At 39.8% G+C, this 17713-nt stretch overlaps 1 protein-coding gene and 1 pseudogene across 1 annotated transcript; one reads left to right on the top strand and one right to left on the bottom strand.

Annotated features, from left to right (window-relative positions):
* Positions 1 to 5657: 5657 nt before the first annotated feature.
* On the bottom strand, positions 5658 to 8008 carry VN1R1 (vomeronasal 1 receptor 1). Its single transcript, NM_020633.4, has one exon. The coding sequence runs from the start codon at positions 7352 to 7354 to the stop codon at positions 6293 to 6295; it is 1062 nt and encodes a 353-aa protein (NP_065684.1). The 5' UTR covers positions 7355 to 8008; the 3' UTR covers positions 5658 to 6292.
* On the top strand, positions 10779 to 10988 carry VN1R107P (vomeronasal 1 receptor 107 pseudogene; annotated as a pseudogene).

A 17713-nucleotide genomic window follows, 5' to 3' on the forward strand; every position in this document is an offset into this window, starting at 1 on the left:
CCCTTGCAGATATGTGTTTTTCAAATACTGTCTACCATTCAGTCTGCTTCCTTTTCATTCTGTTCATGTCTTTTTTTTTTTTTTTTGCACAGGAGTTTTCAAATTTCAATGGAGTCCAATATATGTTATGTTTGTTTCCTATGCTTTTGGTATTATACCCAAGAAATTATTGCTAAATCCAGTGTCATGAACCTTTTTTCATGTTATTTTCTAGGAGTTTTATAGTTTTAAGTTGTACTTTTATGTCTGATTTATTTCAGTTTGTTTTAGTAAATGGAGGAAGGTAAGAGTTCAACTTCATTCTTTTGCATATAGATATCCAGCTTTTTGAAAGTCATTTGTTGAAAAGACTCCTTAATAAGTTTTTGCGCTCTTGTCAAAAATCTGAGCATAAGTATGAGGACTTCCGTCTGGCCTCTTTATTCCACTATATGTATGCATTTGTGCTAGTACCAAGGTGTTTTGATACATAATTCTTTTAAAAGAATAATGTTTCTGTCCACTGTTGAGGCCCTTGCTAGAGGCTTGACAGTGCTACATTTGGAACAGCTGATTAAGTACACTTCCAACCACTTTCCTTAACAGGCTGTCAAACTCTGGGTCAATATATATCAGCCCCAGTCACCCCAGGAGCAGGTATCAGACATCTGGGGACAACTCCTATGCCCTGAAATGTGTAAAATTACTCAAATTGGCCAAGTATAGAAAGCCCAGAAAATCTAGCTAACCCGAATCCACTTGCCACACACAAGCTGCCTCCTACAACTCCAGTTTGCTGTATTACTATCTATATTCCTTCACAACTCCGGTGCAGCCCTGAATCATGTCCTCTGGTTCTGAGTTGTAAGTTACAACATGCTCCACCTTTCATCTATCTGTCATGTCATGTCCTGACATCAAGAAAACTTCTAAATCTTAAAACTACATACCCAGAAGGGTATCATGAGTGCAGCGAATGTTGGAAAGTCTTCAGCCATTAACCTCATTCAGCACCAGTAAACCATCTTGGAGAAAGACCTTAGGAATGCAGGCAGGCAAAGTGCTTTTGCCAGCAGATAAAATAGTAAAGCTGTGGATATTAGCTTTTGTGAGGGAGACCTCAACCAGAAATGGAATCTTACATCCAAACATCCACACAAGGGAGGTTTGTTGTAATTGTCTGCTATATGAGAAGCTTTTGTGAATTACCTTGCACTTTCTGACCTGCCTGGGATCCTTGCCAGTGTTAAGTCACTGAAAGTGTGTACTACAAAAGACTTCCATCCACTATTAGCTGATATCACAGTGTGTATCACCTTAAAATGCTTAGGGAGGGCAGATAGCTGTGCTCTCTACCTTTATCTGGAGTTATTGAGTCTGATCCCTTCGGGCGAGGCCTCATTCCCACTTCCATGGCTGGTTTGGGTGCAGACATCATCCAACTTTGGACAGAGGATACAGGCTGGCTTGAGCTGGCAGCTTGTAAAGATTTTCCTTTCTTCATGGGTATTATTGCTTGTCTTATAATGTTGGTGATAGATTTTTCACCTTCCAAGCTGCCCAAACCCAGTCAATTTCCACGTGACTATACTGGTTTTAGTGATGATAAAGTCATTGTTTAAGCTACATTTACTCATTGCAGTTTTATTCTCTGTGTGCTGTGGGTTGAGAGCAAAATTGGAGTCTGCCAAAATGAAAAAGTGAGTGGTTTTGTGAGGTTTTCAATTTTATGTACTTCCAAGGAAATAGCAAAAACAAAAAAACCAAAAAAAAAAAAAAAAAAACAACTCAATCCACAAACGCCTGATGTATATTGCTTCAGAAGGTTCCTGGGAAAAAGAAGGATTTCTATCCAAAATCCTTTACCCTGAATTTGAAGATTATTTATGGTTGCACAGTCAGCTTGCAGCCAGGACAATTGGTTTGACAACTGTCAGGATTTATGGCAGCTGTGAGAGCTGGGTATTTGTACCCATGCATGTCCCATATTCTCCAGTATTGTTTAGGGATAGCTTGCTCCTGTGATGTGCCTTATGAGCTATGTGTCTTGAACCCAAAAATGATGTAGGTTATGTTCCTGGATGTAAAATGTAAGAGTGCATTAGTTTGTTGTCCATTGCTTATAAAATAATACCTGAAACTGGGTTATTTATAAAGAAAAATCTATTTCTTACAGTTATGGAGGTTGAAAGGTCCAAGGTTGAGTGGCCGCATTTGGTAAGAGCCTTCTTGCTGGTAGACTGTGCAAAAAGTCCCAAGGTGGTACAGGGCATCACATGGTGAGGCTGCTGAGTGTGCTCACATGTTAACGTGCTAGCGCAAATCATTCTCTCTCTTTTTTTTTTTTTTTTTTGAGACGGAGTTTCGCTCTTATCGCCCAGGCTGGAGTGCAATGGCGCGATCTTGGCTCACTGCACCTCCGCTTCCTGGGTTGGCTCACCGCAACCTCTGCCTCCCGGGTTCAAGCAATTCTTCTGTCTCAGCCTCTTGAGTAGCTGGGATTACAGGCATGTGCCACCACACCCCGCTAAGTTTTTATTTTTAGTAGAGCAGGGTTTCTCCCATGTTGATCAGGCTGGTCTCGAACTCCTGACCTCAGGTGATCTGCCCGCCTTGGCCCCCCAAAGTGCTGGGATTACAGGCAAGAGCCACGGCCCCTGGCCCTTTCTCTTCTTATAAAACCACCAGTTCTCCCAGGATAACCCATTAGTCTATCAACCCATAAATTGATTAATTCATTCCTGAGGATAGAGCCCTCATGATTCAATCACCTCTTAAAGGTCGCACCTCTCAGTACTACCACACTGTAGATTAAGCTTCAATGTGACTTTTGGAGGAGATGGTCAAACCATAGCAAGCAGTTTGGGAACCATAGTCTGTACAGAAACAGTGATTGTATTAATATGAAGTATGAGACACCAGCAAACTAGAGTGGAATGGATGAGCGCCTTGTAAAGAGACATCCATGAATGTTTCAGTAACTATGGCTATGTGAGATGAGGGTATACAGAAACTCTGAGGACCTACAGACGTGTGTATCTCCTGTAGGCAAAGTCATTGTCAGAGCAAGTAATCCAAAGGTGTTATGGATTCTTGTGTCTCTGGCGTTATAAAACGTATGTTGAATTTTAATTGCCATTTTAACAGTGTGGAGAAATGGGACCTTTAAGAGGTGATTAGGTCATGATGGCTCTGCCCTTATAAAGGAATCAATGCCTTTATCATAAGAGTGGGTTTGTTAACCCGAGAGTGACGTTTTTATAAAATCAGCTGTCTCTGTCTTTCATGCTCACTTGCCCTTCTGTCATATTATGACAGAGTAACAAGGCCCTCACCAGATGCCAAGCAGATACCAGTGCCATACCCTTGGACTTCCCAGCCTCCAGAACTGTATGAAACAAACTACTTTATAAATTACGCAATCTGTGGTGTTTTGCTATAGTAGTGGAAGACAGACACAGACATAAAGCCTGTTAATTCAAACCACTACTGCACAGGTAGGAGCCTCATGACTGAATGAAGGGAGATTCTATACTTCTGAGATAAGTCTTTTTTTTTTTTAAACCTAAACATAATTCCTGGTGACTCAGGTGGACATAACCTTCCTTGTCTCCAGTTCTTCTTCCCCGAGATTCTGAATTTCCAACAACATTGCTTCCAGTTTTTGATACTATAAAATCAGAGTTGACCCACGTAAGACATGAGGAGAGGCTAATGATGGAATCAACACAGCTTTGCCAGAGGTTATAAAAGAGGATTGAGAAATCCAGATTTTATTTGGAATTTTTCTTTTCTAACAGCTTTATTGAGGTATTAGTGACATTCAGTTGCACATTGTTAAAGTGTAAAATATATAAAAACAATCACCAAAGTCATGATAATAAACATATCCATTGCCTCAATAGTTTGTTTGTACCCTTTTCTATTCTCTCTCGCTCACAGTCCTACCCAAATTTTTATGCTCAGGTAGCCACTGGTTTACTTTATGTCACTATATACATCTTTCCTTCCTTCCTTCCTCCCTCCCTCCTGCTCTTTTCTTTTTCCTTTTTTCTTTTCTTTTTTCTTTGTTTCTTTCCCTCCCTCCTTCTCTTCTCCTCTCCTCTCCTCCTCTCCTCCTCCTCTCCTCTCCTCTCTTCTCTTCTTTCTCTTTCTCAGAATTTCACTCTTGTTGCCCAGGCTGGAGTGCAATGGCACGATCTCAGCTCACCGCAACCTCCACCTTCTGGGTTCAAGCGATTCTCCTGCCTCAGCCTCCTGAGTAGCTAGGATTACAGGCATGCGCCACCACGCCTGGCTAATTTTGTATTTTTAGTAGAGACGGGGGTTTCTCCATGTTGGCCAGGCTGGTCTCGAACGCCTGACCTCAAGTGATCCACCTGCCTTGGCCTCCCAAAGTGTTGGGATTACAGGCGTGAGCCACCATGCCCGGCCTATAAATTTTCTAGTATCTTATACAAATGAAATCCTACATTACATTCATATGGAGCATTTTTTGATATTTATACATGTTAAGCGTATTCATTTTTTGTTGATGAAGAGTATTGCATTGAATATACCACAATTTATTAATCTATTAATAAATATTTTGATTGTTTCTAGTGTTGGACTAAAAAACTAACAAAGACCCATGAACATTCATATACAAGTGTTTATATGAATATATTTAGCAGAATTGCATTTGTTATACCTCCTTGTCCATGATGGTTATGGTGTATTTTAAAGATTAACCATTTTCATAGATGTGTTGTGGTCAGTGTGGTTTTTAAATTTGCATTTCTCTAATAATTAATGATGCTGAATAAGTTTTTATATGCTTATTTGTTATCTGTATATTTGGCCAAATTTCTAAATCTTTTCCCTTTTTTTAAAAAAAAATCTTATTTTTCTATTTTAATAGAGTTTTAATTTTAGAACATTTTAAGATGTACAGAGAAATTGCAAATATAGTACAGAGATATCTCATTTACAAGCACACCTAGTTGTTACTAATATATAGTCATATATTAGTATACAGCATTATTTACAATTAGTGAAACAGTTTTGATACATTATTAAACTAAAGTACATCTTTGATTGAGATTTCCTCAGTTTTTACCAAAATACATGTTCTGTTCCAGAATTCCACCTAGGATACCACATTGCATTTATTTTATTATTTTTTATTCTTTTATTTATTTTTTTTCATGTGTCTCTAAATGTAACCACATTACAGTTAGTACTCACATTTCTTTAGGCTTGTCTTGCTTATGAGAATACTCATTTATTTTGATATTGATTTTTAATTTTTTTTTTTTTAGATAGTCTTGCTCTATTGTCCAGGCTGGAGTGCAGAAGCACTTTCTTTCTTTCTTTTTTTTTTTTTTTTTTGAGACGGCGTCTTGCCCTGTCTCCCAGGCTGGAGTGCAGTGGTGGGATCTCGACTCACTGCAACCTCTGCCTACTGGGTTCAAGGATTCTCCTGCCTCAGTCTCCTGAGTAGCTGGGATTACAGGCACCTGCCACCATGTCTGGCTAATTTTTGTATTTTTAATAGAGATGGGGTTTCACCATGTTGGCCAGGCTGGTCTTGAACTCCTGACTTCAAGTGATCTGCCCACCTCAGCCTCTCAAAGTGCTGGGGTTACCGGCGTGACCCACGGTGCCCAGCCACTTTTAGTTATTTTTATTTTTATTTTGAGTCTCCCTCCGTCACCCAAGCTGGTAAGTAATTCTCGTGCTTCACCCTCTGGAGTAGCTGGGACTACAGGTGTGTGCCACATGGTTGGCTAATTTTTGTATTTGAGACAGGGTTTTTGCCATGTTGGCCAGGCTGGTCTCGAACTCCTGGCCTCAAGTCATCTTGAGTGGATCACTTGAGGCATTTGGGAGTGCCTCAGCCTCCCAAAACGGTGGGATTACAGGCGTGAGCCACTGTGCCCGGCCTGCACATGTCTTTCTTACATGTGGACTCTCCAGGGGATTTATGCTGTTCAAGAAGCACCTGAATCAAACTGTGCTTTAAAAATATTTTTAAAACATTCCATGATTCTTCATAGTACAAAAATGAGAAATCTCCCCTAAATCTCTAAAGAATTCCCTTTTTAAACTTTTTGATTTCCTGAACTTGTCTGAAGGACTTAACACAGTTATATAGAGTGTTCTTTGTGTAACAGTATCCATGACTTTCATTTTTAGCTCTGGTATTAGATCTTCCTGGACAAGAGCATTACTGGCCATGTGTATGTTGCTATCACAAATAACTAGTAGTTAATATTTCCTAAATCTTAGCAAGAGTTATGATAAATAGCTGAATTCCATGAAGAGAAAAGACTCATGGCATGACAACCAGATTAGGAAAGAGTGTTTTCCTTGTCCTGCAGGCAAAACAGAACTGAGAGATATGAGTATCACTCATGATGAGGACAAAAGGGCTGCGTGCTGGGAAACATGAGGCGACCAACACAGAGTTGGTCACTATCCACTGGCCTGGGTTTGCAACTACAGTTGTCCAAATTGTCAGAAAACTATGGACTGAATAGAAAACAAAAAAGGAGCTCACCAGGACCATGATGGTGTGTGTGGCTCTGGCTTCCTGGGAAGGTCTGCAGGAGAGTCTGTTGCTGTGATTGTGTTGGACTTGCTGCTTGTGTCTGTAGAGGAAGAAGACCATGGAGCCACTGGCCCAGACCATGAAGCCCAAACTCATAAAATCAGGGGAAAAATATAAGACTGCATGTAATGAGCTAAATCTCTTTGATGCTTTGTAAGAACAGTATCCATAATTGTTTTTTGCACTACTGTTTTTGCTATTCAGTGGGCCATTCACTAATAGAAGAACAGATGCATTCATCAAGACATGGGGGGCCCAGCAGAGGAGACAACAGAAGTCAATAAACCTTGGGGATCTAATCTTGATCTCCATCCACCTGCATATACTGGGGTTGAGCTTAATGGCTTGGAATCCATTGAGAAGGCAGATGGTGCTGAGGGAAACTCTTGTGCCCACCCTGTGATAATAAAAGACAAACTTACATCCAGTGTCATTCAGCAAATATTTCAATCCAAAAGCTGCCATTGTCTGAGGTATCCCTTTAAAGAAAAGGACCATGGAGTTAGCCAAGGCCAGTTGGCTGAGAATCAAGTCCGTGGGTCTCAGCTTGTGTCCAGTGAACAAAATTAAGTTATAAAAACAAAGGAGAAAGGAATTTCCCAGGATCCCAACTCCAGTCTGAATGAGGAAGCTAATCCCTGATTTTACTTTTCCAAAAGCCATTTCATCAAAATCTAGGGGATGTTGATTTTCATTGAGGTCTGAAGAATCAGTAGAATAAAAAAGCAGAAAGAAGTATCTTGTCATCAGTGGAGACAGAAGTTTTAATGTGTCTCCAACCATATTTTCTCATCTTAAACAGAAATTAAGATTGTCCCTGTTCGTGCAAAGGCAATTGCTTGTGTGTCCAACTGCAGAGAAGCAGGTGAATGAATGAGGGCTCAACCGCACAACAGATCCACAAATCAAACCTATAAAACTCAGGGCTTACACACATGCAACAAGTAAATACAAGCAAAACTAGGGAAATATATAAAAACAGAACACAGAAGAGTCAATATCATTAGAGTGATATTATACTATAGTTTGCAAAATGTAATCATGACGGAACCCTGGGTAATATGGACAGGGCTTTTTCTGTATTATTTCTTATGACTGCTTGTGAGTCTACACTTATTTCAATAAAACCTTCAATTAAGTAGCCTGGAGATATGAAAAGCAAAAATAATACACCATAAAACCTTTTCCACACTAATATTTTAGTAAACACCATTGTTATTGATGCATTGAAACAAATTTTAGGCCGGGTGCAGTGGCTCACACCTGTAATTCCAGCACTTCGGGAGGCCAAGATGGAGACCATCCTGGCCAACATGGTGAAACCCTGTCTCTACTAATAATACAAAATACTAATAATACAAAAATTAGCCGGGCATGGCGGCGCGTGCTAGTCCCAGCTACTCGGGAGGCTGAGGCAGGAGAATCGCTTGAACCTGGGAGGCAGAGGTTGCAGTGAGCTGAAATCAAACCATTGCCCTCCAGCCTGGGCGACAGAGCGAGACTCTGTCTCAAAAAAAAAAAAAAAAGAAATTAAAAAAACGCTACAATACAATTGGTAACAAGGCCTTCAGCACAGTACAAATGCTAACTTGAAGAATTTTTAAAAACTATAATTTTTGGAACAATCAACATTGCATCATGGTATATTTTATTTTAAGCACATATATTTCTGTTATTTTCCACCGGACAGGTCTAGAGATTGTGAATTGACTCCGTAGAAATAACCATGACCACCTTGAGCCCACACATTTTTATCTCAATGCCATTTCTCACAAGTAAATGCAAAAGATCCTGAAAATAAATACTAATCCCAGAAACACCTAAGATATCCTTAAAACTTGTTAAATAGGAAATTCAATATGTTCCAGAAAGCTTGGGTTTATTTTTAGGGAAAGATAATTCAATTGGGAGGGAATTTCATTGCACAATATTCATATATATCAATCACAAAAGAAATAGTAACTGCGGCCAGGCACGGTGGCTCACGCTTGTAATCTCAGCACTTTGGGAGGCTGAGGCGGGTGGATTACAAGGTCAGGAGATGGAGACCATCCTGGCCAACATGGTGAAACCCCGTCTCTACTAAAAATACAAAAATTAGCTGGGTGTTGTGGTGCGTGCCTGTAGTCCCAGCTACTCGGGAGGCTGAAGCCTCCTGGGTTCACGCCATTCTCCTGCCTCAGCCTCCTGAGTAGCTGGGACTACAGGCGCCCACCACCACGCCCGGCTAGTGTGTGTGTGTGTGTGTGTGTGTGTGTGTGTGTGTTTAGTAGAGACGGGGTTGCACCGTGTTAGCCAGGATGGTCTCGATCTCCTGACCTCGTGATCCGCCCGCCTCGGCCTCCCAAAGTGCTGGGATTACAGGGATGAGCCACCTCGCCCGGCCATAATTTAGATTCTTTTGGTGTCTCTATGGAATTGCTATCATCAGGGAAAATTATGAGGTATTTTCTCCCATGAATAACTACATCTCTTTAGGGGTGGAGCAATCAATAACACAGCAGTATCAAGATTCTCAGGCGAGAGGTGGCTCACGCCTGTAATCCCAGCAGTTTGGGAGGCCGAGGCTGGTGGATCAGCTGAGGTCGGGAGTTCGAGACCAGCCTGACCAACAGGGAGAAACCCCGTCTCTACTAAAAATACAAAAATTAGTCAGAGGTGGTGGCGCATGCCTGTAATCCCAGCTACTCGGGAGGCTGAGGCAGGAGAATCGTTTGAACCCCAGAGGCGGAGGTTGCAGTGAGCCGAGATCATGCCATTGCACTCCAGCCTGAGCAACAAGAGTGAAACTCGGTCTCAAAAAAAAAAAAAAAAAACTCAGGCTCTGAGGTATGAAAACCTTTTAGATTCCCACAAACCACTTGTTGACAAATGTTTTTCCTATTTATATGAACTCATCATTTATTTTCAAGATAGTTCCTGATTCTTTGCTTTAATCTCTTATTTTGCTCCATTGTCCTAGTTGTATAATTTATTTCCAATATGCATTTGGTTTCCTATTTTTTCAGCTTCTCCTTATAAAGTACCATTTTTACTATGACTATTTTGAAAGCTTCTTGTATGTATAAAGTTAGTGTGATTATTGACTTTAACATACCACCTCCTTCTCCTCCTAGCCTCAGAAAGAAGTGTTGGTAACTGGTGAGAATTTTCAGACAGATTTTCCTTTTTTTTTTTAATTTAATTTAATTTTTTTTTCTTTCTTTGCTTTCTTTTTTTTTTTTTTTTGAGACAGAGTCTCACTCTGTTGCCCAGGCTAGAGTGCAGTGGCGCTATCTCGGCTCACTGCAAACTCCACCTCCCACGTTCAAGCGATTCACCTGCCTCAGCCTCCTGAGTATCTGGGATTACAGGCGCCTGCCACTGCGCCTGGCTAAATTTTTTTTGTATTTTTAGTAGAGATGGGGTTTCACCATGTTGGCCCGGCTGGTCTCGAATTCCTGACCTCGTGATCCACCCACCTTGGCCTCCCAAAGTGCTGGGATTACAGGCGTGAGCCACCGCGCCAATTTAATTTAATTTTTTAAAGTTCCAGGATACAGGTGCCGGATGTGTAGGTTTGTTACATAGGTAAACGTGTGCCATGGTGGTTTGCTGCACCTATCAACCCGTCACCTAGGTATTAAGCTCAGCATGCGTTAGCTATTTATCCTGATGTGCTCCATCCCCCGACCCCTTTGACATATTCCAGTGTGTGTTGTTCCCCTCCCTGTCTCCATGTGTTCTCATCGCTCAACTCTCACTTATAAGTGAGAACATTTGGTGTTTGGTTTTCTGTTTCTGTGTTAGTTTTCTGAGGATAATGGCTTCCAGCTCCATCCATATCCCTGCAAAGGACGTGATCTCATTCTTTTTATGGCTGCATAGTATTCCATGGTGTATATGTACCACATTTTCTTTATCACTGATGGGCATTTGGGTTGATTCCATTTCTTTGCTATTGTGAATAGTGCTGCAATGAACATATACATGCATGTATCCTTATAACAGAATGATAATAATAGAATGATTTATATTCCTTTGGATATATACACAGTAATGGGATTGCTGGGTCAAATGGTATTTCTGGTTTTAGGTCTTTGAGGAATTGCTACACTGTCTTCCACAATGGTTGAACTAATTTACCTTCCCACCAACAGTGGAAAAGCATTCCTATTTCTCCACCACCTTGCCAGCATCTGTTGTTTCTTGACGTTTTAATAACAGCCCACTGAACAGCAAAAACCTTAGTGTGAAAAACAATTATGGAGTCTGCTCCTGGGCAATGCAAGAAATATTTGGCACCTTATATACAATTATATACTTTTCTCCTGACTTTTTGAGTTTTGGCTTCTTGGTGTGGGTCAGTGGCTCCATAGTCTTTGTCCTATACAGACACAAGCAGCAAGTCCAACACATTTGTAGCAAGAGACTCTCCTCAAATCAGTATAAGTAAAATTAGGAAAATATTAAGATGATAGTGAGGGCCGGGTGTGGTGGCTCATGCCTGTAATCTCAGCACTTTGGGAGGCCGATGCAGGCGGATCACGAGGTCAGGAGATAGAGACCATCCTGGCTAACACGGTGAAACCCCGTCTCTACTAAAAATACAAAAAATTAGCCGGACATTGTGGCGGGCACCTGTAGTCCCAGCTACTCGGGAGGCTGAGGCAGGAGAATGGCATGAACCCAGGAGGTGGAGCTTGCAGTGAGCCGAGATCGCGCCACTGCACTCCAGCCTGGGCGACAGAGTGAGACTCCATCTCAAAAAAAAAAAAAAAAGATGATAGTGAATATATCAAAATCAATATCATCATTGTGATATTATACTGTAATTGCCAAATGTAACCATGGGTGGAAACTGGGCCATGTGTAGAGGCTCTCTGAGTTATTTTTTAAACTGCTTGTGAGTCTAAAATTAAATTAAAATTATTGTTAATAAAATGGTCAGTAAAAATGCTCAGGAATATGTAAGGCAAAAATAAGGCATTATAAAACCTTGTCCGTCATTATGTTTTAATACACATCTCCTCACATACTTATCATTTCTTTCTGATGAGAACATTTAAAATCTACTCTTTTGGCAATTTTGGAATAGACATTAACAATAGTCACCACGCCGTGCAACAGATCACTAGAACACATTCCTTGTGTCTAACTGAAACTTCGTATGCTTTCACAAAAACCTCCCGTTTTTCAGTTTGCCCTCTATCTCTTTAGCCTCTGGTAACCACCATTCTACTCTCTACTTTTATAAACTCAACTTGCCTAAATTCTGCATACAAGTGAGACCATGACCATGTGGTGTTGGTCTTTTTGGACTTTCTTTGAATGTGTCCTGCCTTCAGAGATGTGTTGACCTACAAGAAAAATGTATTGAAGCATACCACTATAATGTGTGCACATTTCTGAATGTCATGTATAAGATACCTATTTTTGCCACTCCTATTCAGTATAGTACTAGAGGTCCTAGCCAGAGAAATCAGGCAAGAAAAATACCTAGCTAACTAAATAAAAGATATTCGGGTGAGAAAATATAAAGTAAAATTGTTTTTCTTTGTTGTAATATGATCTTATAAACTCTTAGAACTGGGGAACAAATTTAATATAGTTGTAAGACACAAAATCAATATACAAAAATCAGTAGCATTGCGGTACACCAATAATGAAATAGCCAAAACAGAAATCAAGAAGGCAATTCCATTTGCAATAGCTATAAAAAGCAAAATAAAATAAAATAGAACACTGAGAAATATTTAATCAAGAGGGGAAAGACATCAAGGAAAACTACAAAGCATTGATAAAATAAACTGAAGAGGACACAAACAAATGGAAAGACATCCCATGCTCATGTATTCAAAGAATACATATTGTTAAAATAACAGACAGTACTACCCAAAACAATCTAAAGATTTAATGCAAGCCCAATCAACATACAAATGCCATTTTTTCACAGATATAGAAAAAAATTCTAAAATTTGTATGGATCTTCAAAAGAGCCCAAATAGCCAAAGCAATCCTGAGCCAAAAGAACAAACCTGGAGCATCACACTACCTGACTTCAACACCTTACACAGCCATAGTATCCAAAACAGCATAGTATTGGTATTTTGTTTTTGTTTTTTGAGACGGAGACTCGCTGTGTCGCCCAGGCTGGAGTGCAGTGGCGCCACCTCGGCTCACTGCAAGCTCCGCCTCCCGGGTTCACGCCATTCTCCTGCCTCAGCCTCCCCAGTAGCTGGGACTACAGGCGCCCGCCACCACGCCTGGCTAATTTTTTGTATTTTTAGTAGAGACGGGGTTTCACCATATTAGCCAGGTTGGTCTTGATCTCCTGACCTCGTGATCTGCCCGTCTCGGCCTCCCAAAGTGCTGGGATTACAGGCGTGAGCCACCGCGCCCGGCCTAGGACTTCTTTTTAACATATGTGTTGAGATTCCAATCTTTGTGGTTGCTATTTCTTTGATGATTAATTTATAGATTACAATGATTATTACTATGCAGTCAAATCACAATGTATTTTCTATAGAAATTAATACAAAATATATATTTAAAATAAAATGAGTTAGTTTAGTCTTCCAAAAATTTTTGTAGTTTAGAGATTATTTAAATTATTTGAGTTAGCATTTGTACTTGCTTTGTTCTATGGTGAAAGCTTTGCTACCAATTACATTGTAGGTTTATTTGTTTCAATTCATCAATACCCAATGGTGTTTACCAAGATATGATTAAGACAAGGTTTTACAATATCTTATTTTCATCTTACATATCACTGGGCTATTTAATTGAAAATTTTATTGAAATAATTATAGATTCACAAGCAGTTGTAGGAAATAAAACAGAAAGAGCCTGGCCCATATCGCCCAGTTTTTCCTCATGGTTACATTTGCAAATTATAGTATAATATCACAATAATGTTATTAACTTTGATAGATCTTATATCTTTTAAATATTTCCCTTGTTTTATTTCTATTCCTTTGTGAGTGTAGAACCCCTGAGTTTTATGGATTTTATAATTTCATTTTAATTGAACATTATTTAGGAATTATATAAAGTATTTATGTTTGTAAAAACCCAAAGATATATCACAGAATAATTCCATAGAATCCTAACTTTCATTTCTGTTTCCCCACCTGTCTGTCCCTATATACATATGCCTCTGCTGGCTTCAAATAATTCAGCATCCTTTGTACACTCTTCTGACCCATGCCTTTTTCACTTAAGCATATACCCTTAAGTAAAACCATATATGCAGTTCAACCTTAATGCAAACTATGTGTTCATACAAAGTACTGAGCTAGACTGGGCGCAGTGGCACACGCCTGTAATCCCAGCACTTTGGGAGGCCGAGGTGGGCAGGTCACCTGTGGCCAGGAGTTCGAGATCAGCTTGACCAACACGGAGAAACTCCGTCTCTACTAAAAATACAAAAAATTATCCGGGCGTGGTGGCGCATGCCTGTAATCCCAGCTACTCAGGAGGCTGAGGCAGGAGAATCACTTGAACCCGGGAGGCAGAGGTTGTGGTGAGCCGAGATTACACCATTGCACTCCAGCCTGGGCAACAAGAGTGCAACTCCACCTCAAAAAAAAAAAAAAAAAAAAGAATGAGATCATGTCCTTTGCAGGGACATGGATGAAGCTAGAAGCCATTATCCTTAGCAAACTAATGCAGGAACAGAAAACCAAACACCACATGTTCTCACTTATAAGTGGGAGCTGAACAATGAGAACACATGGACACAGGGAGGGGAACAATACACACTGGGGCCTGTCGAGGGATGGGGCTGGGGGAGGGAGAGCATTAGGAAAAATGGCTAATATATGCTGGGCTTAATACCTAGGTGATGGGTTGATAGGTGCAGCAAATCACCATGGCACATGTTTACCTATTTAACAAACCTCCACATTCTGCACATGTACCCCAGAACTAAAAATTAAAATAAAAAAAACTCGTTTTGTTGATCTTTTGTACTTTAAAATCTCTATTTCATTTATTTCTGCTCTGATCTTTATTTCCTTCTACCAATTTTGAGTTTAATTTCTTTGTTTTAGTTTTCTTCTTTGTTTTAGTTTTAGGTTTTTTGCTTTAGTTTCTTTTGGGTTTTTTTCTTTGTTAATGTATTCTCTGAATGATCTGCCCATTGCTGAAGATGAGGTGTTGAAGTTCTCTGGTATTACTGTATTGAAGTCTATCCTTTTGATCTACTAATATTTGCTTTATGTGTTTGTGCGTGCCCTAATGTTGGGGTCATATATATTTACAATTGTTACATCTTTCTAAATTGACTTTTTTCATTATATAATTACTTTCTCTTTTTTAGTTTTTAACTTGAAAAACTGCATTATTTAAAAATAATTATTTTACCTGATATAAATATAGCTAGACCTGTTCCATTTTGGTTTTCATTTGCATGGCATATCTTTTTCTATCCCTTCACTCTCAGTCTGTACATCTTTATAGGTGTAGTGAGTTTTCTTGTAGGCAGCATATAGTTGGGTCTTTTTTTTTTTCAATCCATTCAACTACTCTATGTCTTTTAGTTGAAGAATTTCATCCATTTACATTAAATCTTATATTTATAGTTAGGGACTTACTACTTCCATTTTGTTATTTGTTTTCTAAGTCTTCTCTAATTTTCTTACTCCCTTTTTTGTGGATAAGTGATTTTCTCTGGTAGTATGATTTAATCCTTTGCTTTTTGTTTTTAGTATCTCTACTATAAATTTTTGCATTATGGTTGCCATGAGACATAAAAAGTATCTTACAGTTACAGCAAGTTATTTTAAACTGATGACAACTTGACTTTGATCACAATGAAAAGAAATAAGCAAAGAATAAACTAAAAATCTCTACACTATAACTCATCACTCCTTTTCTTTTCGTTGTCTCACTTTATATCTTTTTATATATCTCCTAAAAAGCTATTCAGTCATCATTCTTGACAGATTTGTATTTTAGTGCTCACACTAAAGATATGAGGGGTTCACACACCAGAACTACAGTGTTAAAATATTCTCAATTTGTCTGTGTATTTACTTTTGCCAGTAAGTTTTACTCCTTCAGATGATTTCTTGTTGCACATTAGCATTCTTTTCTTTCAGACTGATGAACTCTCTTTACTATTTCTTGTAAGACAGGCCTGGTATTGATGAATTCCCTCAGCTTTTGTTTGCTGGGAAAGCCTTTATTTCGCCTTCATGGTTGAAGAATATATTTGATGACTAGAATATTCTTGGTTGAAGATGGTTCCCTTCAGCACTTTAAATACGTCTTTTCACTTTCTTCTGGCCTATGAGATTTCTGCTGAGAAGACTGCTGCCAATCTACTGGAGTTCCTTTATATGTTATTTGTTTCTTTTCTCTTGCTACCTTTCCTCTTTTTCATCTTTGACCTTTGAGAGTTTGATTGTTATATGTCTTGTGTTGAATCTGGTTGGCATTCTTTGACTTTCTTATACCTGGATATTCATATATATATGAATATGAATCATATATCTATATGAATATATATATGAATATGAATCATATATATGAATATATATATATTTGGAAAGTACTCTATAATTATTTCTTTGAATTAACTGTCTATCCCTACATCTTTCTCTACTCCCTTTTTAAAGGTAATCACTCTTAGACTTGCCCTTTTGTGGCTATTTTCTATATCTTTTAAGCACAGTTCATTCTTTTTCTTTTTTCTCCTCTGTATTTTCAATAGCCTGTATTTAAGCTAACAAATTCTTCTGCTTAATCAATTATGCTGTTGTTATATTCTGATGTATTTTTCAGTTCATCCATTGTCTTTTTCAGCACTAGGATTTCTGTTTGATTTTTTTTTTTTTTTTTGGTAATTATTTCAATCTCTTTGTTAAATTTCTCTGCTAAAATTCTGAATTCTTTCTTCATGTTTTCTTGACATTCTTTGAGCTTCTTCAAGACAGATATTTTGAATTCCCTGTCTGAAAGGTATTCCCTATCTGATAGATCTCTATCACTCCAGGGCTGGTCACTGGGCAGCTTATTTAGTCCATTTGATGAGATCATATTTTCTTGAATGTTCTCAATACTTGTGGATATTTGTACATGTCTGAACACTGAAGAGTTTCTTATTTATTCCAGTCTTCACAGTCTGGCCTTGCTTGTACTCATTCTTCTTCAGAGGGCCTTCAAAGAATTCAAAGGGGACTGAGTGCTGAGTTCCCTAAGCTGTGGTCACTGCAGCCATTTCAGCACTAGAGGGTGCCATAATCCCAAGTATGCAATAAATCTTGCAGACTCCTAGATACCCAGCCTAGATAGATGTGGGAAAGAGAAGACAATGTTCTGGGTTCCCAGGCAAAGTCCCTTACTCTCTTCTCTCTCATTCCCCGAAGTATAAGAAGTCCCTCTATATATACCAGGCTGCCTGTAATTGGGGGAGACGTGACACAGGGACTCCTGTGTCCATCACAGCTGGCATCACAGTAATGCTAGTCTAAACCCATGGACTCTATGACCAGCACAGTACTGGGGATTGCCCAAGGTCCACAGTCAGTACTACCTGACTGCCACTGACGTTTATTCAAGGCTTGAGGCCACTTTAGTCAGCAGGTGGTAAAACCAGCCAGAACTTGTGTCCAACCAACCAGGACAGCAGATTCCCTTCTGGCCTGGGTTGGGTCTAGCCGCACTGTCCAGGAAGAAAGGCCTGGGATCGGTGGCTTCAGGATTCTACTTGGCGCTTTATTTTCCTATGACTGAGCTGGTACTCAAGTTGAAAAACAAAGTCATCTGTACTCTTCCCTCTCCTTTCCTCAAGCAGAAGGAGTCTCTTTCTGAGCCACACTGCCTGGAGTTGGGGGAGGGGTGTGGCACACTCCCTTGGCTGCTACGGCTGGTGTCATGCTGGGTCACATGCACCCAAAGTCCACAGCCTTAGAGACCACTGCAGCACCAGGGCTTGCCCAAGGACTGCAGTCCTTGTGACCTAACTGCCACTCAAACTTATTCTGGGCCCCAGGCCACTTCGGTCAGCTGTTGGTGGTGCCAGCTGAGACTCAGGTTCCTTTCACGGGGGTTGAAAGGAATTTGCTTCTGGCCCCAGGCTGGTGTAAATGCTGTCTCCATGGGCACAAGTAGAATTGTGCCGTGTTGTGTTCTTCTGTGCCTGGGCAGCACCAGGTT

The sequence above is a fragment of the Homo sapiens genome, chromosome 19, assembly GCF_000001405.40.
Source record: "Homo sapiens chromosome 19, GRCh38.p14 Primary Assembly".
Classification (NCBI taxonomy): domain Eukaryota; kingdom Metazoa; phylum Chordata; class Mammalia; order Primates; family Hominidae; genus Homo; species Homo sapiens.

Coding starts and splice junctions, on each gene's coding strand:
- VN1R1 (NM_020633.4), bottom strand. CDS start 7,354: ATGGTTGGAGACACATTAAAACTTCTGTCTCCACTGATGACAAGATAC.